General features: G+C 40.8%; 1 long non-coding RNA gene across 1 annotated transcript in view; it reads right to left on the bottom strand.

Moving 5' to 3' along the window:
* Positions 1-589: 589 nt before the first annotated feature.
* LOC107984373 (uncharacterized) overlaps positions 590-24844 on the bottom strand; it is a 69120-nt gene continuing 44865 nt past the window's right edge. The window contains exons 2-3 of the long non-coding RNA XR_001748081.2: positions 3131-3260; positions 590-1388 (exon numbers count right to left, since the gene is read on the bottom strand). This is a non-coding gene — a long non-coding RNA (uncharacterized LOC107984373). The remainder of the gene's footprint in view (positions 1389-3130; positions 3261-24844) is intronic.

Genomic DNA, 24844 nt, shown 5'->3' with positions numbered 1-24844 from the left:
AAACTTAGGTACAAGAGAATCATAAATGAAATATGAAGAACCAAGAAAAAATAAAAAACCAAGAAGATGTGAAGAGTCAAGAGTGAGTGGGGCTAGGCTGTGCACAGTGGCTCTCGTCTGTAATCCCAGCACTTTGGGAGGCCGGGGTGGGCAGATCACCTGAAATCAGGAGTTTTTGAGACCAGCTTGAGCAACGTGGTGAAACCCCATCTCTACTAAAAATACAAAAAATTAGTTGGGTCTGGTGGCAGGCACCTGTAGTCCCAGCTACTCGGGAGGCTGAGGAAGGTGAATCTCTTGAACCCGGGAGGCAGAGGTTGCAGTGAGACGAGATTGTGCCACTGCACTCCAGCCTGGGCAACAGAGCAAGACTCAGTCTCAATAAAAAAAAAAAAAAAAAAAAAAATAGTGGATAGTGGGGCTCAAATGCATGCCTAAGGCAGGCTCCCTCCTTCACTAAAACTCTGTCCTCTACTCCCTTGACCAAGACTGAAAAATGAGTAAAATCTTATCCTGTGTGCAGAAGACGAAAGGAGGTGACTGTTCCAAGACACAGCACCCATACAGTGCACTCATCCAAGAAATCCAGTTTACTCTCAAGGATGTTTATTTTCCAGAAACAGTTGCCCCAGGAACCTCTGAAATTATAAAATCCTCAACCTTGAAATTAGAGTTAGTTCTAGTCACTGAGCTACTGAATCGGGGGCAGGCCTGACATTCTCACCAGCCCCTTTCGGTGAGTTGTGTGTGGGGAGTCTTTGGGCAGCAACAACCTTAATAGCAGAGATAGACTCAGAGAGGATCACAAAGATAAAGTGAATCTGATGAGTTTCTGGACATGAGGACTTTTCCTGGGGTCCTGAAAAGAAATTGAGCTGCATTTTCTTTCTTGGGCCAGAGAAGAATTTGCTCCTCTCTTTAACTCACCCCCACCTCTTCCAGAAACTGGTCTTATCTCTAGAGTATTTCTTTAAGGATACATAAGGAATATAGAATGAGACCTCAAAAACCTACATTCCATATGAAAGGAGATAAATAAGCTGATTTTTTTTCCTGAAAGTCTCTAGTGGTTGCAAAGGGACCCGATTAACAAGAGAAGGTAAATCAGAATAATTCAGTTTTCTCTTCCATTTCCCTGTGGCCATCCTCCCAGGACTGTTTGTCGCTAGGCATTTTTGAAGAGCAGGCTCCTCTTGGACTCTGATCCCTTTCATCCATCCCGGTGCTGGGCTAGGGATGCAAACCGTGGCAGGGGAGATGACAGACACGCATCACTGGTGCCGCTAATGCAGGAGGTGCAAGGCAACTGCAGGGCTGGGTGATGTGATTCACGGTGGCCTCTGTATCTGAGACCCCTGTCTCTCCTTCTCTCTGATGCTTTTTCATTTCTGCAACATTAATGGGAATGAATACAGTCATACTTTAAAATAAGATGTTTAAAAACTCCCTCTTCTGGAATGACTAACCGTTTCCTCTCCTACAGTCCATGGGTTCCAAGTTTTTCTCAAAGATCCTCTTCTTAATGGACTCATCCGCCCACTCTAGCTGGATCCTCCCAACCCTCTTCTTTTGACTGTCTAACATATTCGCCAGTGTCCACATTTCCATGTCACTCTTTCCTGGTTTTCAATGAGTCCTAAATTGATAACCAGGCTGCAGAAACAATTGAAGACTGGGAGTGCAGTAATTCTTCCGGCATCACCATTAAAATCTAAAACAAACAGTTTTCTACATAGTCAGGGTGCGTATAATGGGTACGGGGTAGGTATGTGTCGGGGAGACGGTAACTAATCATAAATAGTTTACTGGGTCTCACAAATGACCTCAGTTAGCACACATTCTTCAGGCAAATCTTGTAATATTTCTCTATCTTTCCTGTTTTCACTCTGTCTATAGCCAGCATTGATGATAAGATTTCCCTGATACCACATTCGATGAAGTCTTCAGTTCATCCTTGATACTTGCTGCACTGACATGTATTAACAAACAGCATCTCTGTTCTGTCTTTTGGAAATGTTCTTCCCCATCACAGTGCTCCCTGTATCCACCTTCCCCATCACAGTGCTCCCTGTATCCACCTTCCCCATCACAGTGCTCCCTGTATCCACCTTCCCCATCACAGTGCTCCCTGTATCCACCTTCCCCATCACAGTGCTCCCTATATCCACCTTCCCAGAGAGCCAGCAACCCTCATAGCACCCACAAGACTGGCCTGCAAGATCCAGCATCATTACTCCCCTCTGGACTTTCTCACCCACAATGCCCCATTTGCTCTTTCCCATCTCTAAGCAGTGGGACTCCACTGATGTGGGAAAAGGAGAAGGAAAGAGACCCAAGGCATTCAGGACAGGCTGATTCACCTACATGCTTTTCTCTCAAAGGCCACTCTCTAACTCCAAATATGCTTGGATAAATGAAAGCTATAGCAAGAGGTTTGGCTTTTTTGACCTTCATGCTTGAGAACCTACAAGAAAGGTGTTCATTAACTGGTACCCTTAAATCACTCCAAATGTGGCCTTCTGCTGGAGCCCCCATCACAAAGTGTAATTATTTATTGTGTCTTTAAAGATTCTTGTTACCTTCACTGTCTTCTCTTACTCTTTTGCCCTTGAGAGCTGAATTTGTTGGAAAAGAAAGAAACCCCACTTCAGGGGTGCAGTGGTTCCATATGAGTGTGAAGTTACATCAGAGACCCTGAGCAAAAACAACCCTATAAGTTTCCCGAAAAAGCATAAGAAAAACATTGCTATTTAAGACTTTCTGTGACTCAGGAAAGCTAGCAATTTTACCCTATATTTGCATAGTTATCATTTACAGGTATTTTCCTCTAATTAATTTGGTTTAATTTATTTCAGCCCATACAGGTATAAATGTTATCCACTTTATATATAAGGGAAACTGAGACTTTGAGAGGTAGAGTGATGTGCTTAAGGTCCCATACTGCTAGATGAGACCAGCTACAGAATTTGCAGAGTGTCTTGTTAAAAACAAATGAATAAATAAATCCAAGAATTTCAAGACGACAATAGCAGAGCATTAAACCAACTTGTAGTCCCTCTAAGCAGGGAGCCCATGTGACAATCACGACCCGGCTACTAGACAGACACGGAGCCAGGAATCACATGCAAACCTTTGAAGTCCAAGTCCATCTTTCTCATCACCCTCTGGCTGGATTAGGATTCAGTCCCTGGCTTTCCTCCATTCATGGCTGTGACATTGCCCATACACTGCTTAAGTGACATGGATCCCAGCTTCTCCTCCTATAAATCAAGGGATTAGAGAAAATTGTCACCGTAGTTTTATAATCTTTTCCCCCTAGATCCTTGAGCTCTAGTGGACAACTATCTCTACCATGATTCTGTGAATGAAGGAAAAAAAATTCATAAATAAATGTCCGTATTTTTAAATAGTCAATGTATCTTACATTAGTTTGAAATTCTCTATCTCATATCCAGCTCCTCCTCCTACTTGGGTTTATTCTATTCTTTAAGTCTGATTATTTGAAAAGGGAAAATAAAAGAAAGACAGACAAACAGAGAGAAACAGAGAAAGAGAGAGAAAGAAAAGAAGCCCTAAAGACGCTGGCTGTGCAGATGGCTCCAGACCTCCACTTCTACTCTATTATCAGCAGACTTCACTCCAGGGATGATACACTCTGCAATTTGTATGAGAAAGACACGTTTTTGAAACCATAGTGGTTATTATTGCAGAAGCTCCTGCCTCAAGCAGCCGTTTTAATGTTTTTCTCCCTGAAATCTGAACATATTCATCAAACTGTGTTGTGCTCCTGGACTCGCAATTAATCACGGCTCATTTCAAGCTTTGTTAATTAATACCAAGGCCAGGGACCCAGTGGAGGCCGCAAATTTAATCTGCAGTGTTTTAAAATTATTATAATCTGCTAAAGGAAGAGCTGTTGGATTTTAAATAGTTTTTAAAAAAATTTCAACACTGCATTGCCAAAAAATTAAAAGCGATTTATGATAATCTTGGTGAAGGAACCACCCTGAAATAGCATCTTTTTGTTATTGTTAGCTGACATCTGGCCAGCAGAGGGAGTAGAACTGAACTAGAGGCACCATGTTGCCGGAGCTACAGACTTAATAATGTAAAGATGGAGAAAGAAACCAAAAGGAGACCGACCATGAGGTATGTTCTGGCAATAACAGAATCAGCATGAGAGGGGAGGATTCCCAGTAGGATCTGGTGTGGTGAAACTAGGGTAAAATATATTTCTTTTTCTCACCTTGAACTACTAAATGGGAAGAATCTCTGAGTATGAACTCCACTTACTGAGAGAGAGGGCATTGCTAAACTAAAATGATTTCAAAGGGATGAGGAAATAGTTTGTCTGGAATTACACTCAATGGAGTGGTTTATCTCATTAGACTGAGATTACTGTTGTGTTTCATGCTTTGTTTTTGGGGGCTGCACTCCCCCCTAATCTGGAGGAAGGTACTCATCCATTTCTGATGAGTACTTTATTTCATGATCCGAACATCTGCAGCAGCACCATCCAGCCGTGATTTCTACATTGCTTCCTACCAGTGCTTCACATGTTAACTCAGTTGTTGAACATTTTGATTTTGAAATAAACCTCAAGAGGACCAATGATCTCAGGTTATTAATAGAACAACACCAAAATATTCCAGAAAAATATAAGAATTTGTGAGTAAATAAGTATTCATGTGTAAAGACCTTGAAGGAATGACTTTCTACAATGCTGAGCATGGTATACACAGCTTTCTAAAAACTGTCTCTGGTGGAACCTGCCTACATCACCTGCCCCACTTTCAGTCATTCCAAATTTCCTACATCCCAAACACCTTGATTTGTTCAGTCATCCCAAATACCTCACATGATGTTCCCTTAGCCTTGAATTCCATCAAGATTCTGTTCATACTTCAAGATCCACACAAAACTTACCTTTCCTCTGAGGATGTCCTCATTTCCTGCAAGAGTTCTTATTCAACAATTGCACATGTTTGTGTGCATATGTACGCCCACCCTTACCATGCTGCTTTCTAAATAATGTGTATATATTTTTCATTACAGGTACAGATACTTACAATACATTATATTAGATAATAAACAGATAAATAAAAAGGCATAAGGCTCTGCCTGCAGACTTTAAGTTGCTGGAGTGGTGCCATTGCCATTTCCTTCTTTTATATTCTCAGCCCCTAGGACGGTGCCTTTGATGTAGTAGGTGCTTGATACTTTTTTTGAATGAATCACTTACATGATTTACTAGAGGTCACTCTAGGTCTAGTCTTATTTTATAAAAAGGAAACTGAAGCACTAGCAGGGCAAATTGCTTGTGTAAAGTCACATAATTAATTATCAAACACATTTGGCATAATTCCAAGCCACAGAGTGCTCATTTCCTTAGGTAGACAGCCTCAAACAAATTCCTGTTCTTTAGAGCTGCATAATCTTCAAGAAACCACATAATTACAAGCAAGGCAGGACATGGGGGTGGGGCATAAAGAATACTGAAGTCATCTATAAGCGATATGCAGAGCCACAAATAGAGCCCACAGCTAATCAATTTGGGGGTGGAGTACAAATTAAGAGTGAGTATGAAACCAGTCCGATTGTCCCATACAACTAATATGTATGCTTTTTTTTAAGTAAACATAAAAATTGATTCTCCCTGGTCTTAAAAGTTGTAGCTTAGATTGTTTCATTTGAGTTCCTTCCTCAGGAAACCAACACTCAGCCAAAGGAGTGAAACTTACTAGATCACCACATCCAGACAATGAGACACCACACCCCTCATCCATCATGATGACTTCCTTACTCCCCTCTAATTCCTGTTTTCCCACGTCCCTGCTATATAAACCTCCCAATTTTATTGGTCAGAGGGATGAATTTGAGACTTTATCTCCATTTTCCTCAGCTGCAGCACCCTATTAAAGCCTTCTCTTTGATAACACTTGTTGTCTCAGTGATTGGCATTCTGCGCAGTGGGCAGCAGAGCCTATACTGAACTCTTGGTGTTTTGGTAATGAGTCTAGCTGGAGAGCTCTCACATAGGTTGAAAGCTCCAGGTCAGTGTTAATGAGTCCTGTCTCTGCCCACTCTTCTCCATTTTTGAGACCTAGGGAGAACAATTTAGAGATTCAGATTAAAAAAAAAATTAAAGCAATCTGAGGTATTATTTCCACAAGCAAATGCCCACAGATATTTCCCAGATGGGGAAATGGACCAGCTCATGTGGCCCATGACTATTCTTTTTAGTCTAAATCATGAAAGCAAACATTTGTTTGGGGCCAAGAGCAGAGGCTACTGCTCTAAGACAAAATTGTAATGCTTTCAAGGCCCTTGAGGGTAATATAAAAGTGAAGAGCTGAATGTGAGAAGGGAAAGATGCCAGAAACCTGAACTCAAGGGTAGATACACCTAGCCTTGCCTCAATGTCAAAGACACAGTGAGAACTTGAGGTGGGTGGTAAGCCTGCGAGCTGTCAGGTTGCAAGGGAACAGCACATGATGATGTGGCTCAATGTTGCTAGATATTTCTATTATACGAAAAAAAAAGCCAAAACCCAGATATGTGTGTGTCCTTTCTTGATTTTTTTAATACTCAACAGCTATTTCTCTGTGTGGATCAACTCAGAAAGAGACATGTCTTCAGGCTGTGAATCACAGAAGCATGGCCCCTGTCTGAAAGCTACACATTTCTCAAGGAATGCACTTTGCTATTGGGCCGAGGAAGAGAATCTCATTTCTAAGAAACTTTTTTGGGTGGCAGATGTTGGGGAGGAGGAGGGGGGATTTTATGCATTTTCCTTTGAGTAGTTTAGGTAGGAATTTATACAATTTCTTCTACATATTGTCAGGAAAAATAAAACCTCTGCCTCAGGAAAGTAGGCCAATTTATAAATGGTAGATTTTTGAAAAGATCTCAATTTAAAATTTTCTTTATTGTAGTCAAATGAATCACTTCTTTGTGGCTTCTAAGAGTCACAGAACACTGCAAGGTGGGAGTTGTCCACAGTGGGTAAATGGCCCGGGGTAGGCCAGTTCTGGTAATGTAGACAGCTGCTAGGTAGTCACTGGGAGAGGTCCTGCTTACTTTGAAGGAAGTCCTCTCTGTCCCAGAAGGTGCTAGGAGAAAGTGGTGGCAACAATGGTTCTGGACTGAGCAGCTGTCTCTGCAGAGGCCCCCTGCCTATTGGGCAGTCTTTAAACAATGGCTCCACTCCTACCCAGCATCTGGGCATGCAATCACTGCTGCTTCCAGCTCAGTGCTCTCCCACTGGAGAATCCTGACCTCCTTTCTCATCTTTTCTCCTATGTCTCACTTCCCACCCACTAACATAGAGACCTTGTGTTTTTGCTATTCATGGAGATGGGGGAAGGAAGCCCTTTCTCTCTTAAATGATTCTAGATATTTCCCTTAGAGCTACTTACAAAAAAGTAATGTTTATGCTTCTCAGACGCTATTTCATAGTACATGAAGGCTGAGCAATCCAAATACAAAAATTCAAAATCCATAATTTCCTAAAATCTGAAATTTTTCGTGCTGACATAACACACAAATAAAATGCTTTTTGGAGCATTACAAGTTTCAGGTTTTTGGATTTGGGATGCTCAACCAGTACATGTAATGCAAATATTCTGAAATCCCCCCCAAAATCCAAAATGCTTCTGGTCCCAAGTATTTGAGATAAAGGATACTCAACCTGTACTATACTATATATAATGGTATAATATTAGCATATAGTCTGCTTAATAGTTTGGGAATTTGGAAACTCCAAAGTCCCGAGATTCACAGGCTACTTTTTGCTATGTGCCCTGTCACAACCCCCCCTGAGCCATATCCAAACTTGATTATCTGCTAGAAATTATCTGCTTCCATGGGGAGGCAGGTAGAAGGAATGAGATAATCAGTAGAAAATAAAAATATGTATAATTATATTTTTAAAATATTGTCCTGGGAAGAAAAAAAAGAGAGGAAAAGGTAAACACCAGTTTCCTTCCTAAAATAAATTAGATCTATACCTTGGGTCTGGAGCTTCAATAATGGGCCCAGAGATTCTGCACTAAAACCAGAGCTTATCTGTCCCCCTGGACTAAGTGCAAAATCCTATGTACCCATGAGACCTGATAGCTGTCTGAGAGCTTCCCATTCTCTTCTCTGTCAGGCAGAACCAAGCACAGCACCCACCATGCAAATAAAAGGCCTCCAGAATTCACCTCTGCAAATCTCTAAACAAGGTTTTGATTGGGTCTGTCTGTAAATGTCCACAAAGGAGGCTGGTTCAAAGCAATTGAGATGAGGGAGGCGCAAAAGGGGTGGGAGTGGGGAAGAAAGGAAGCTGTGAGCCCAGGCCTCAGCAAAGGGCCTCTGTGGGTACACCTGATGAGGGCGACTGTTTTCTCATCCTAACTGGCTCCCTCCTCATGCAAAGGCCTTGTACAAATCCCACCTTCTCTTCTAAGCTTCTTTATTCCTGGAGTCTCATGCAGAGTCAGGAGAAAAAGCAACTGCTGTGTAAAGTAAACAGCAAGGCAGAAAGGAAGAGAGCACAGAGCAGTCAGCTTTTGAGGACACATTAAAGATTTCACCGAGCACCAGCAGTGCCCAGCATCACCCCTTTCAGTCCACAACGCCTCCATCTTCCCCCACCCAAATGGAGAGAAGTGTGTTAAGAGGCCTGAGAGCTCTGCATGTGAATTTCAACCTGTGATTTGAGGGTTAAATGAAGACCCCCCCAACGAACCCTCAAAATAGACTCCTACTGCCCAACTGATATGATTTACCAATGTCCCCACCCAAATTTCAAATTGTAGCTCCCATAATTCCCCTGTGTTGTGGGAGGGACTTGGTGGGAGGTAATTGAATCATGGGGGTGGGCCTTTCCCATGCTGTTCTCATGATAGTGAATAAGTCTCATGAGATCTGATGGTTTTATAAAGGGCAATTCCTCTGCACATGCTCCCTCTTGCCTGCCGCCATGTAAGACATACCTTTGCTCCTCATTTGCCTTCCGCCATGATTGAGAGGCCTCCCCAGCCATGTGGAACTGTGGGTCAGTTAAATCTCTTTCCTTTATAAATTACCCAGTCTCAGGTATGTCTGTATTTGCAGCGTGAGAACAGACTAATACACCAACAGAGAGTTTGCCCATAAGAAGGGCTTTGCTCTTGGATGAGGCGTCTGTCTCCATGGACCCCTGTTAATATGTAGACTGGCGTAGTCATCTGAGAGAGCCACATGCACACACATACATACATACACACGTACTCCACACATACACACATACCCAAAGATGTGGCTCTGTGTTTTGAGATTTTAAAAAAACAAATAAAAGACAGAAATTGCTTCTGCCTTCCAGAAGCTCACATCTCACTTAAAATCAAAATACATTTTGCAAGTGATATGTATTTGTATTTATAAAGTACACATCTTGTACTTTAAGGTTTTTTTTGTAATATGGCAGAAAAGATTCTGGATTTAGAATCAGAACACTTAAATCTACATTTCAGTTTTGCCCCTTTGCCAATAGGTGTGCAAACTTGGACAATTTCCTTAATCTCCCTAAACTTGTAGATGAGTCCTGAGTGGAGAATAGACACTCAATAAATTTTGGTTATTTTGTGATTTAGTATTATTATTGTCTTTATTAGTATTACTGTTATTATTATTAAGTGAGGAAAATAGTGCATTCTACACAGAGCCATGCAGCTCCTCAAGCATCCATCCACCACCACCAACCTGTCCCAACATCCACTTGTTTTCGCATTCACCACATCGTAATAGCTTCCTAACTGGATTCCAAGCTTCCAATCCCTTTTCCTTCCAACGAGTGCTGCATTCTCTTTCCAAAGTTTTATTTTTAAAGGAGAGATCTATTTGCCATGCCAATCTCCTCCTCAAACAACTCTAAAACCTACCTTACACCTATAGAACAAATTCTAACCTCAGTCAAAGGCTCTTGACAAAATGGTAATTTAATCTTCAAGGGGGAGGAGGAGCAGAGAGCAGGTAGGGCCATATTTAAGTTTAAGGTTTCACTTTTAAAACTTTGAAACTTTTTTTTATTATTTATACTCTAGAATAAAAGAAGACAGTGACCTAAATATGCCCAAAAGCATTTTCATACATTCATTCAATGGTTATTTATCGAGTAGCAACTGTGCCACATGCTGGAGGTACAGCAATGAAAGTGACAAAAGACGCCCTTTCTTTATGGAATGAACGTTCTACTGGGAAAGAGAGACATAAACATATAAATAAATAGATAAAGCAATAGTGAGTGATGCTAAACTCCAAGCTGAGGGCTCAGAGTCCTTCTGGAGGCAGAGAGTCAGGCACTGCCAAAGTACCCAAGTGGACACAGGTGATTAAATGTGTTTATCGCATTTTGCCATTATTTGTATTCCTTTCTCCTGTAGAATCAGTTCTAGGGTGCCTGAGCCGATCTGATTCTCTGAGACATAGTTCTACATGTGCATGTTGGATGTGTGTGTGTGTGTGTGTGTGTGTGTGTGTGTGTGTGCTGGTGGGAATGCATTCCTGAAAATGGGAACAATGGCTAAATCACAGCTGTCTGAGTCCTTATGGAGATACCTTATTTCTGACTCCCTACACTAGAAAAATTATGCTCCCTTTCTCTTCAAATGCTTCTGGCCATAGACTCAAAGGTCTCTTTGACTTTGGGAGTAGTAGCACCACACTACTCTAGATGTTAGATTCTGGAATTAATCCTTCCAACATAAAGTGTACCTATTGTGACTTGAGTGTCCATGCGCCTTCATATTTACAAATGCTGCCCTCACGTCTTCCTCCTGGCCCTACTCTGTTGCCTCATTAATCGGTATGACTAAACTTTATTTATTTATTTTAAAACGGAGTTTCGCTCTTGTTGCCCAGGCTGGAGTGCAATGGTATGATCTTGGTTCACCGCAACCTCTGCCTCCTGAGTTCAAGTGATTCTCTTGCCTCAGCCTCCCGAGTAGCTGGGATTACAGGCATGCATTACCATGCCTGGCAAATTTTGTATTTTTAGTAGAGACAGGGTTTCTCCATGTTGGTCAGGCTGGTCTTGAACTCTCGACTTCAGGTGATCCGCCCACCTCGGCCTCCCAAAATGCTGGGATTACAGGTATGAGCCACCATGATTGAACTTTTATACAGACATTTCTCTGATAGAATCCTCCTCGTATATTAGCCAAGTGAACTGATGTAATGGCACCTGGCTGTCCCTGGACAGTCCCCTCCCTCAGCCAAGTGGGCACAGGACTGCCTTCCTACCCTCTTCCCCAGTGACTTGCTGGAGGATTGTGACAAACTAATCGATCAACTACCATCACGTTGTCAGGATTTCAGTATTGCTTACTGCCTGGAATCTCAAAGCTGGTTCTTCGTCTGATTGAAATATTTATCTTGCTAGAAATTTCACACATATTAGCAATTTTAACTTTCAAAACCCCTACAAAGACACTATTACAGAGGGGGACAATGAGGTTCGATGTTGTTGAATGAATCGTCTAAAATATCATGCCTGGTAATGTTAAAAGGAATGGGATTTAAAACCATATTCATATGACAGAGCCATGATGTCATGGCTTTAGCTATTGAAGACTTCACAACGCAGGGGTAGAAAACAGGTTCCTCTCTCAGTGCCTGGGTGCTGAGCCCTGCTCTTTTGCTTTCCAGCTGTATAAACTTGGGTTCAGCAACAGTGGTCAGTGGTTAATTAGCCATTTCAAGTCTTGATTTTCCTACCTATAAAATAGGGATAACAATACCTGATTCATAAAGTTGACTGCCAAGTAAAATGTTCTGCAGAGTGTCTAGAGCATGCTATGGAGTACACAGAGCATATTTTAACGATGAGTAATGCCATTGTTATTGTTAGTATTGCCACTCCAACTCCCTGAGCTAGATTTTACAAAACAAATTAGACCTCCTTTTATATTAAGGTATCCTTAGCTGGAAGTCCCAGCGTGGCTCACTAAAATTTGGCAGAACTTGGAATCAGGCACTGGCCTAAACCAGGCATGCATATCACTTACTCAGACTTTGTAGAAGATGCTTAATGGGTAAACACCACTGTTTGTCCCAAGCTTCCCAACTTCACTGAGCACTCCTGATTGCTGTTATTTCCTTGAAACTGATATCTATCAGTTCTTTCTTTAAAAATTAATGTTTCTCCATCTCCTAAAATTTAAAAAATGTGAAATTTCACAGCCTTTTATTTCAATTTTCACAAAATGTACTCAATCTACCTCTCTAATCTTTATCTCATGACCATATTTACCCACCCACGCTATAAATGCATTATTAATTATTTGGGGAACATTTTGGGAACCTCTCCCCTAGCCTTTTCTGAAACACTGTCTTCCTCTGAGTGCCCTCACTCACCTCCCTTCTATATCTACCAAAGTCCACATCGTCATCCTTTAAGGCTCAACTTAAGTTTAAATTCTACCAAAATCTTTGCTAGAGCCCCATACCTGTCCCTAATTAATTGAGACAATGCGGAAAGGACACAATTTGCAGAGTACAGGGCCTGAGTCCAGCTCCAGGACAGCAGAAGCACAGTATCAACTGAATGCAATAGTTACCTTGGGCCATAGAGTGTTGCAAACTAGCCAATACTTAATCTGTTGCTTTCCCAACTCCTTCCAGGTATTTCCAGAGGTATAAACTGCAAAATGAGCCAGGCTTGTATTAAACCCAAAAGTTGGAAGGAATTATATTTGGAAGCAGTTGAGAAGAATATTTGATAAAATGTATTTCATTTTTTCAAACAGGAGGATATAAACCATGCAAAAATAAGCACTGGACGAATTACTTTCTGCGTGAAGTGGCATCCACACATACATGTTTCATTATGTTGGTAACTAACATCTTTTAATTCCAGGCTCCATAATGTGATTCTGTCCTGTGTAATTCTGAGGAAGACATTCCAAATGACTGAGCTTAGATTTCTCTCATAAAAGAATATCACTGTGTGTTGCATATGTTGTCTGTGCTGCTCACACTGCACTTATTATGAACTTTTTATACTGCAGACTTTTTTTTTTTTTTAGTCAGGGTCTCCTTTTGTCACCCAAGCCGACGTGCAGTGGTGTGATCACGGCTCACTGCAGCCTTGACCTCCCAGGATGAAGCAATCTCCCCACCTCAGCCTCTCAAGTAGCTGGGTCTACAGGTATGTGCAGTTATACTTGGTTAATATTTTTCATATATATATATATATATATATATATATACACACACATATATACACACATATATACATATATATGAAAATACATACATACATGTATATATACATGTATATATGTGTGTATATGTATATATGCGTGTATATATGATGTATATATCTGTGTGTGTATATATATATATGAAAAATATTAGCCAAGTATAACTTGGCACATATATAGGTGTGTATATATGTATATATATATGTGTGTGTATATATCTGTATATATGTATGTATGTGTGTGTGTGTGTATATATTTGGGAGAGTCGGGGCCTCTCATTGTTGCCTAGGCTGGTCTTGAACTCCTGGACTCAAGAGAGCCTCCCTCCTTTGCCTCGCAAAGTGCTAGGATTACAAGGGTGAGCCACCTCTCCCAGACTTATTTCAAACCTTTTTGCTCATGCCTAATCTTTTGTATTTGATTTTAAATTCCTGGAAGTCGAAACCCACGTCTTACTTATCTCTGTCAAGTCTCACAAGACCCATTAGAAAGTCTTACACACGGTAGCCACACAGGTAAGTTTTCTTGAATGACTGCTGCAAATTGAATAAATATATCATGAACTTTGGAGTTGTCTTATCTTAGGTTTGGTTTGACTGTTATCTGTAGTGATGAATAAATCTGCAACCCACTAATATTCTCTTATAGAATTGTTATGAAAATAAGCAGGATGAAGTTTTTACAACACAACTTTAGTGTCTTCCATAGAGTAGGTGAACCACTATAATAGATTTTATTTTAATTATATGTGACAGGATATATATTTTAATATATCATAGACATTTTCCTCCACTGTTCTCAGAAGTGAACTCTGGTATCAACATCTCAATTATTTTATTTTCCAGTCTTCTAAGAAGAGTCATGCTTTGTCACAATAACTCTTTTATAACTCTTTTGGGCTTTTTCTAGTAAAGAATTATGAAAGAAGGAGAAATGGAAGAGAAACAAATAGTACTTAAGCCACAACTGGGAGGCAAAGGGAAGGATGGGAGGATGCAGGAAGGGATGGAAGTGGATGGGTGTTGTAGTTTGGATGTCTGTCTTTCCACAAATCTCATGTTGAGATGTAATCCCCAGTTTTGGACGTGGAGCCTGTTGGGAGGTGTTTGAGTCACCGGGTCAGATCCCTCTTGGCTTGGTGCTGTACTCATGTTAGTGAGTGAGTTCTTGCAAGATCTGGTTGATTAAAAGTGTTTGGCTTCCCCAGCCACCTTTTCCTTCTCTTGCCATCTGACGCACCTGCTCCCGCTTCACCTTCCACCATGAGGCTCCTTGAGTCCTCCCCAGAAGCTGAGCAAATGCCAGGCCATCCTTGTATAGCCTGCAGAACTGTGAGCCAATTAAACCTCTTGATTTAATTGAACAGGATAAAAAATTTTAAATGATAAAACTTTAAAAATTACCCAGTCTCAGGTCTTCTTTTATAGCAATGCAAAAATGGCCTAACATAATGGGGGAGAAAAGGCAGTTCGGGAATTTTTTTTGTGGTCTCCGTATCCCCTAGTATTTATTAGTGTGGTCATTGTCCATATATTCCCTTCTAAGGCCTTGAGCTATTTTAAAATTACTTCTTTGGCCGGTTTGAGACTAGAGTCTGTAGGTCACGAATTTTTAAACACTGACAGACATGACTAAATGATAAATCCTACTAAATCCTTCAGTGTCCATAATGGGATCAAGAGTACACAGATGGAAAGAGGCAAACTAAAGCCATGCTTATTCTCTTAAATAAATGCTTCTCCATGGGCATACACACCCAAAACAGTGTGCCCTCTCCACCCACCATTGCAAGGACTGATGTGGAGTCTCGATGCAGGCTGGCACCGAGGAAAAAAACAGTAGAAGCATCTTCAAGATCCCAGCCTGTTACAAGAGTTTCTCATTGGTCAGTTTGGTCTATGTTTTAGGCTCCCACACTTTTCATCTTTAAAAATAAAGTCTGCTGACTCCTTGACCATTCTGTGAGGTCTTCAAAGGATAAAACATGTAAAGTGGAAAAAGACAGACAGCAGGATGGAAGAAGTATATTTTAGTCTCCTGAGAATTCAAGAGGTTGTTTTTTGTTGTTGTTGTTGTTTGTTTGTTTTTGTTTTTCAGACAAAGTTCCACAGATAGCCCAGGAGCCTGTGAGATAGTTTTATCTCTGTTCATTTATTTAACCAATGTTTGCTGAGATCATACTCTTAACAATTGCTAAGCTGAGTTGTAGGTACATTGTTACAGTGAATCTTCCAAATAAAGTTATGCGATAAGTCATATTGCCATCCCCATTTAAAGATAAAAAAACTGAGGCACTGAAAGAAGCGGGAACTTGTCTAAATCAAAGAGCTAGCAAGTGAAAAAGGTGTCTAATTGCAGTTCATGAGCTTTCACCCATGCAGTGTGGAAATGGTAATCGAGTATAACCCTAAATGTCTCAAAGAATGTCCATGGGGTTTGCCATAGGGTTGGATACTTAATTTGTAAGCCTCAGTGCAAAATGAAAATGCAGGGAACCTTTTTCATAAACTCTTAAGAATTTCAAGATAACAGCAACAGTGCATTAAGCCAAGAACGGAGCCCTTCCAAGTGTAGGATCCTGTGCAGCTTCAGGGTTCACAGCTCTGGCTTTCTGATTCAGTGGCCCAAAATACCATGGGATTAACTGCCTCAAGGACAAGATCCCTAATTATGAAGTTTCTGTTCTTTTTTATTTAATCTCCTTTTTTTTTTTTTTTTGTAGTGATTTGAATTGCATCCTTAAGTTGGAGGAAGCAGGGTTTGCCCAAATGCTAGACAGAGAAAAATTGGACCTGGTCTTATCAGCTAGAGAAAGCCAGGCTTTTGAAGTAATGACATTTATTTGAGCTTTGTGTAACATTCCCTTAAACAAGCTTTTTCTAAAGAGAAAAAAAGCAAAGTAACAAAAACAAAACAGAAAACACTCAGAGAAAGGGAAAAATGGAAGGCCTTCCTGATGAGAAGGATCAACCACTATGAACTATGCAGAATAAAAATAATTCTCTTGGCTGCCTAAGCTGGCCTGTGAACTGGACCAGCACAGCAATCTTCCAAAGCACATTCACTGCCTTCTGACGGCCATTATATTTGCTGAGATCTGAGCTCTAAAGATGATGTGTATCATTATATAAGTAACATATTTAATGCACAACGGTGCCGTGTTTTGAGCAGAGTCAGCCAGGCTGAGAGACTATTGTGCCAGTACTACACATTCTGTTGTATGTACTCATTTATTTTCTAAGGCATGTTCCTTGAGTACCTCATGCTGTGGCAATTCGAAGCTCTTACAAACTTTAAGGGACACGTATATTGTCTATGGCTGCCCACCACTACTGGCATTAAAACCGTAGTTGCTGCCATACCATAAGGCTTGCCCCTACCTGATTTATCAGAAGTCAGATTCGTTACTGAATCATGCCCACTTTCCCAAAGCATTCCAGAAGCTGAGAGTCTAGCCTGCCCAAGAAGTCCAAAGGAGCCATTGAAGTATAGATCTTAATACAGAAATCATCACTGAAATCAATAGGATTTGGCAGGTCCTATCATATATCAAAGAATGCAGAAAATAGGAAAGAAGTAGCGGTCACCCTCTGTGACTCTATACCATAGTTCATTCACCTGTCACTCAAGCTAGTCTTGGAGTCAGGAATTATTCTTGCCTTATTCCTGGAGTGACCGTATATTATGGGTTTTCTGGGATGGTCTCAATTTCAAATATTCTGGCCCGTTGTCTCCATAAGTGTACCTAGACTTATCAGACCTTGTGTCCTGATTTTTAGGTTGAGGAAATATGTTTTTTTTGTGCTTGTTTCTCATCATATTCATAGTGAAATTGAGCTGCGTAACCTTGCATGAGTTTCTTTCCCCTAGTTGGGACTCAAAATGTCTTACCTGAAATATGTTGGAAAAGCAAGAGGGCTGACTTGGTCCATTATATCTTTTTTTTTTTTCTTAAGAGAATACATTTTTAAGCAGTATCTTTTTTTTTTTTTTTTTTTTTTGAGACGGAGTCTCTTTCTGTCGCCCAGGCGGGAGTGCTGTGGCGCGATCTCCGCTCACTGCAAGCTCCGCCTTCCGGGTTCACGCCATTCTCCTGCCTCGGCCTCCCAAGTAGCTGGGACTACAGGCGCCCGCCACTGCGCCCGGCTAATTTTTTTTTTGTATTTTTTAGTAGAGACGGGGTTTCACCGTGGTCTCGATCTCCTGACCTCGTGATCCGCCCGCCTCGGCCTCCCAAAGTGCTGGGATTACAGGCGTGAGCCACCGCGCCCGGCCTAAACAGCATCTTATACACACGCACCATATGTAATACCGAGGAAAGTGAAGATGTTCTAGTTAAAGTACGTGACTCACCCACTCAAGCACCAGAGACAGGTGTCTCTTAAAGCATCTCCTTTGAAAGATCAGCTTCTGAAACATGCAGCTTGATAGTTTTTGGACTGATGATTTCTAAATCCCCTTTCAACTCTAACAAATGCCTTAGGACTCTGAAAGAGGAGCTGGGTGGTCAGAAATGGGCTAAGCTAGAGAAAAACATTGAAGTAAGCAGGCCCAGTCTTTCTGAGGCCTCTCATACACATTAGCTAATGAATATAAAATGTACCAAAGTGTTTCTGGTCCGTTTTCCAGTGCATTAAATCACTAGAGAAGTGACTTGTGGTTTACTTAAAGAAAAAAGGGAGTGTGAGTTAATGGAAAATCTGGTTTGGGTGTAAGAATATCTGGGTTCTATGCTTGGTTCTTTCACAAATCAGCTTGGCAAGTCATTTGACCTACCTGGATTTCCATTTTTGCAACTATAAAATTATTTGTTTGTAATATATAATCAGAGAGGTCTCTTCCACTTTCAAAAATCTAATGATTATATAACAAGATGCAAAAAATCTTATTAAGAGTTCAACCCCATTTCTAAACCTAAAGGGGGAAGAAAATATGTGTTTCCTTTTTTCTCATTTTCATCCCAACTCAGCTCTCAGCTCTGTTCCATTACTTTGTACATTCTGATTGCCCTTGCCTGAGGTTCAAGAGATATAAACAACAGTTTCACAGGAAAAAAAAAAAGAAACCAAAGTAATTCTATACTTGGTAAGAAAGCAAAGAGGACAAAGAGGAAAGAGCACAGGGCTTGTATTCAGATAAACATGGACTTTCACATTCACCGGCTGCTCAGAGAACAGGACTTTGATAGGGCTGATGATCTCTAAAGATCCTTCCTAATCTATAATCCTATTTAAAGTGTTCATAACTACAGATAAAGATAATTTATTAATATAAGGGCAATCTTTAAAACAGGTTCAGCAGCATTATTTTGTCCACACATCAGTGGAAAAACCCTAGATAGTCCCATTTTAATTGCCACTTGCGATACTCAGTGACAACTCAGTCTGGATTGTCTGAAATATTCAAGACCCAGAATCCATACTAGTACAGTAGCCTTGAATTGACTCAGCTCAATTCCCTCATGCTCTTCAACCCCACTGAATGGATATATTTCTGACACATATTCTTAACTAACAGACACTGGTGTTACCAACAAACCTATTCCTCAGGCAATTCTTATTCTTGCTAATGAGTGACAGAATCAAAGAAACAAATATGGAAGCTCAGAAACTGATGTGTAACTAAAGGATATATTTCCCCAAGGCCATCTGCTAACATGATGTACTTTAGGATCACTCACGAAATTTCTCATGGTTAGACGTAGCATTTTATACATAGAAAACACAGTGTTCCTGTACATATGGTAGTTTTTAAAAAGAAAAAGTTCCTTCAAATACTTCTGGGCCCTTTTGACTTCTTAGTTTGGCTATGAGATGGCACAACTAGACAAGTGATTCTAAAACATGAAATAAGAAAAGATAAGAAAATTAAAAATCAAACATAAGAAAATAAAGTGTTACAATTGGTAAAATGGAGATCATGGTTTGGTAGGTCTGGGGAAAAACCAAGAGGCTGCATTTCTGAGAAGCTCTGAGCTGATGCTGATCTTGTTGCTCTATAAACCCCACTTTGAATAGCAAGTCCCCCAAAAGTCGGCCAATTCTAAGATTATCATTATTATAAGGTATTTTGATATACAAGCTCTGTAACTAGACTGCCTGTGTTCAAATTCAAAAGCATACATTTACCATTGATGTAACCTGGGATGAGCTTCAAATTACCTGATTTCCCATGTGGTTATAAGGAAGACTTGAGTTTGTGTGTTGAGGGCATAGAGCACTGCCAGACACACAGTGCGGGCTCGATGTAGGTTAGTAGTTATTATTCTAAGGGTAGACCTTTAAATCTTCATTGAAATAGTGGGAGGTATCATGAGGTGTCTGGGAACCACAGTTGAGGAATACATGTTTATTTATGCTGCTTTATTTGGAAAATGATTTAAGGCAGCTGGCTGTTAATTGCTTTCAAGTATCCATATCCATAACAGCTGGCATGAATATAAATATATCAATGTAGACCAGAAAATAACTAGGAATATGTATATCCCAAAAGGTGGATCAAAGCCCAGGTAAAGATTAAACTGTTAATATTGTTGATTGGCTGATCTTAAAGTTAGATGATATTGATTAAATTGTTAGCTTATGAAATTAGCTTATTTTCTGAAATGTTTCATTCTTTGGATTCCAGTTAGGGTTAAGATTTGAGACTGCATTTCGTTTCAGGATAAACTGAGAAACAGACTGTGTGGATGTCTTCTGTTCCAGTCATTTAATTTTCTTATTATCAAAATCATATGATGAATTTTGGCAAGATTCTGTTACATATTTAATGGCAAAGAACTCCTATGGGAAAAAATATCCTGGATAAAAAAGCCAAAGGACCCTGAAAATATTATATTTGTGGAATGGGGATGTGGGTGGCTGAATTTAGGTTGTCTATGGGAGGTTTTGACTATGGGCAGGATTTCTGTGTAAGCAAAATGTTATGACTGTGGTTTCCCTGAAAAAAAAAAAAATGCAATTTATCTGAGGCAGCAGGACCTGGAGGCTAAAGCGTAAGCCTAGGAAGCACTAAATCCCTTTACCAATCCCAAACACTGATCTAAGACATGGTTACTTTTAAATCATTTCATCTCTCCAGTTCTCCATGTGCAAAGGAAGGATTAAAGGCACCCATTTCACCTCAGCAAAGCTCTGGCACAAATTAATTACAGTTTATAAATGGTTCCAGAGGACTATCACCAAGAAATGTATATGACAAGGGGATGTTTACACAACACACATGCCCCAGTTGGAACATAAGTAAATGCCATAGAAAATTGATGACAAATACCACAAGGCAAAGTATTTACTCAAGGAATGAGGTAGACGTGGTATAGTGCAGGAAGACAAAGGATAGTTTAATGCATTGGTAATACAAATGTCCTGCTTTAAAAAAAATGGTATGTAGAGTCCAGGTGCTGGAATACAGGCGCTACTTGTTAGAGTCTGTCATCTAAAACGATCGAATTAAATACAGTCACCAAATGTTATTCATTCATTCATTCATTTTCTCAGCAAAACTTTATTGAGAACCAGCCATAGACCACAAAGTCCAGTATGTGCCAGAAATTCCAAGTCAACCAGTACCTTTATTGCCTTTCACTTTAGAAGCCCAGAGGCCAGGGGTAGAGACAAACATTCAAAATGATGATCTCAAGAGGGTAACATAAGTGTTACAGTAGAATCATACACAAAGGTGCTATAAGAGCAAAGAAGAGATGCACCTGTTTTAATCAGACTCAGAATTGAGAGAAAGATTTCTGGAGATGATGTTTGGATTGAATTTGAAGGATGAATGACAGTTTGCCTGATTGAGTGAATTCAAGGTAGGAAAAATCTCTCAAACAGCCAAACTCAGCAACTGGCTGAGGTTCCACTTCCTCATGCTTATAAATGTATGGGGGTTCTCTCTTTAATAAGGAAGGTTAAGATTGGACTGGAAACCTTTCCATATGGGATATGAAGGGAGGTAACCTGGGTGTCAGAAGGTTTCAGAGGTTTTCAGGTTACAAATTTTGCAAAGCTCCCTTTGGGTTCCCTTGTCTACTTCTTCCCCAATCACAGAAGCTTGAGATTTTCCTCGTTTGCATATTAGTCATCGCCATTAGAGTCCACTTCAAAAAGAATTCTGTAGCTAAGGAAGTTTAAGAACCATAGCATAATGCTCAGAAACACCTTGCCCCAAGGAAAAAGTGGGCCGTCTATTTGAGCAAAGTGTTCCTGTCTTCAGCCTCTGTCCAGGTCAGAGCTCTCCTGATTCTCTTTAACTGCCCAGAATCTCTCTGAACTTCCCAACTTCGACTAGCTACACTGATGTCTATGCCCACCTCAATCCATCAGCAGACTACTCTATGTACCCAGGTATTTTCTTCCAAAGTTATACAATTCCACTTTTTGTTCAAACTTAATGATAAATTATGGTGTTAGCAAATGATGACAACTTCATACTGTAATCCTCTAAGAGGGCACATGTGCTTTGTTTTTCCAATTGTAAGTTTCACCTCAAAGAAGTGATAACATGGCATTTGAAGCGCGGGCATTTTCTGGGGGAATGTGACTTAAATTATATACTGAATTCAACCATCTCTTTATTCTGTAATGTCCTCTAGCTGTGGCTCCAAAGGCAGAGATGCACTGAGGCTTCTTTCTTGCTGCCAGCAGGTGCAGCATGTGGTCAAGGTGAGCACTCCTGCATCTTCCAGTCTACCACGGCCAGTGGGTCTTTCAAGTCTTGAATATCTTCCCTATCAGGAAATCACGTGTCATTCAGGAAGACACAGGGTTACAGGGAGGGGGGAAGAGCGGGGGCAAAAAGCAGGAAAGGGACACACTAAGAGAGGAACTAACACAACACCAGAGAAAAGAGACATTCAGGGAGGTTAGCAAATTGTCTGAATGCCTAGAAAGGAAGAGTACAAAAAATATAAGCTTACATCACTGGAAATCTCACTCCCCTAGAACAACGGAAGTGCTACACAGAAAAAGGAAGAGGGGAGAGGGGAAGAAAGGAGGTGGAGGATGGTGCGGGGAGAGAGAGAAAGAGAGAAGGTAACTTCCCCCACCAAACACCGCATTGCTTTTTACTTAACAGTTTAGGTCAGTTTCAACTAGGTCACAAGGATGTGTGTATCTTCAGAATAAAGTCTTTAATCGGCTGATGGATATGAAAAAATAAATTACTGTGGCAAAATGTAATAAACATTAAAGGGAAAATGATGAGGGTAATATAAGTACATTGATTTAACTAGGATGATATAGAGGAATTGTCTGTTTTATAGGTTTCTAGATGTCTATTAGTGGCTCTGTATTAAGGAATAGGGCTGTTCTCTTGATATACCTAAGAGCTGTCAGTAATTCCTATTTCACAGTCCACTGCTTCAATTCAGAAAGTGTGTCAGCCCTTGGTGACCCCATCCCGAAGGCACTGGAGGGTGACCAGCTGCCAAAGGTTTGTGTTCAGGCAGCTATTGGGTAAGCAGCTGTATTATTCAAAATTGAGCTGCATTTAAGGGGAGCCAATCACTTCAGCCACCTCCTCACTGCCCTGCCACCTTGCTGGACTGCAGTATCATTTGTTTTAATCACTCAGCATAGGACTCATTATGTCCTGATCTTTTCTGGAGAGAGTAACTTCCTTGATGGGTGGAAATGGTAATTGAGGACGTTTAGGGAGCAGGCGCCATGCCAGTCCCTGGGGGCATATGTCCCCTAGAGATAAGACATATTCCTAGGATAAAACAAAAGCCATGAGCTTCAGGTAGAATGTCACTTTCCCACTATGATAATGCACTGACCTATAAAAAGTGTCCTGCAGCTCCCCATGGCCCACTGAATTAAGCCCAAATTATCATCAGGAAAGGAAGGAGAAAGCATCGTTTCTGGTCACTTACAAGGCACCACATACCATGCTGGACACTTCCTGGTGTCGACTCCTTTAATACTCACATTAATGCTTTTTAAATAAGATGACATCCGTGACTCTCCCTGTCCAGACTAATGATGCCTTTTGCTCCTTTACACCTAAGTCTCTTTAATAATCTATTTCTTTCTCATTCCACTTACTCTGGCAAAGACTACCTGGCTGCTTTTCAAGCGTGTAGAGAGGGATGAAGCACTTGGAGCATCTGGACCTGGTTCAGCAGTGTCAGGCTGTGTGTCTTTGGTCCAGGCAAGCATCTTCTCTGAGTGCCAGTGACGTTCTCAGCAAAGGTGAGAATATTAGACTAAGGCAATTGTTTTCAACCAGGAGCAATTTTTGCCCCCAGGGAAACATTTAGCAGTGCCTGAAGATACATTTGTCTGTCATGAATGGTAAGAGGTAGGTGCTAAGGGCATTTAGTGGTAGAGGTCAGAGATGCTGTTAAACGTCCTACAATGCACAAGACAGTCCCCCACAATAAAGATGTATCCAGCCAAAAGTGTCAATAGTGCCAATGTTGAAAAGCCAAGGCTTTTCACCATGGCTTTTCCTGACCTCTCCCAGTGTACCATCTATTGCTTTCTCTATATTTCCCATGCTGGAGCCCAGTTGAACTACTTTCTGCCCCAACTTCATCCTAAAACAAGTGACCCCTTTCCTCCTCTCTAACACTAGGCCTAAGATGCCATCCTTCTCGCTCCACTGCTGAGACACTGGCTGTTCTTCAAGCCCTACCTTAAATGAAAGAAGGCTTTTCCTCCTCTCCCACTTTGGAACCACCTGGGACATCTCTGTCCCAAAATAAGTTGGTTTTTCAATTTCAGTCTGTTGTCGAAGATCTTCTTTTACTATTAATGGGGGCTATGATTTATTAAATTCCCATTATCTGTATGGCACTATGTTTTGTGAGATTGATTTTAAAAGGTATATCATTTAAAATCTTCACATAGCCATGCAAGATACTATCCTTGTTTTACAATGGGGGACCTGAAGCTCAGATATATTCCATAATTTGTGCAAGGCAACTTCTGAGTCACTGTTAATAAGTGGCCAATGATGGATTCAAAACAGATATGCCCGACTCTAAACCTAAAGATTTTTTTCCCACTATGCAGCAGAAACTCTTACTCTACCTATATTTTACAGTGAATATGGCCTCTTTAAACTTCTTAAAATAATCCAGCATCCAAGGTTATTGCTAGTGGGAACTGAGTATTGCTTGGTAGATAAGTAATCTCAGTATCCTATGCAAATCAGTCCAGTAGCTATAGGCCTAAGAGGTGAATTTGGGTGTAGGAGAAAAGTCAATTTAACCCCTTTCCTAGAGGGAGAAGTCATAGAAAATACTTCTGTGATTACAGCAAACTAATCATAGGGATTGCCAAATGGCTTCTGGCAGCAAGAAACTAGTTGAGGATGGAGAACTCTCTATATGTTAGTCATTTATTACCGCATAAACAATTACCTCTAAATGTGTGTGCCACATTTTCTGTGCATCTTGGAAGCAGCTGAGCTGGGCAGTTGCAGTCATCCACATGCTTGACTAGGGCTGCAGGACTTGTTTTCAAGGTGGCTCACTCACGTGATTGGTAAGCTGGCACAGGGGCTGACAGGAGGCCTCAGGTCTTTGTTGTGGGAGTCTCCCCACAGGACTGCTCGAGTGTCCTCATTACACGGCAGCTGACTTGCTCCAGAGTGAGTGATCCAGGAAAGAGTAA

This window comes from Homo sapiens, chromosome 11, assembly GCF_000001405.40.
Source record: "Homo sapiens chromosome 11, GRCh38.p14 Primary Assembly".
NCBI lineage: Eukaryota > Metazoa > Chordata > Mammalia > Primates > Hominidae > Homo > Homo sapiens.
Note: the sequence above shows the minus strand (reverse complement) of the source record. Positions and strands in the feature narration are given on the sequence as shown.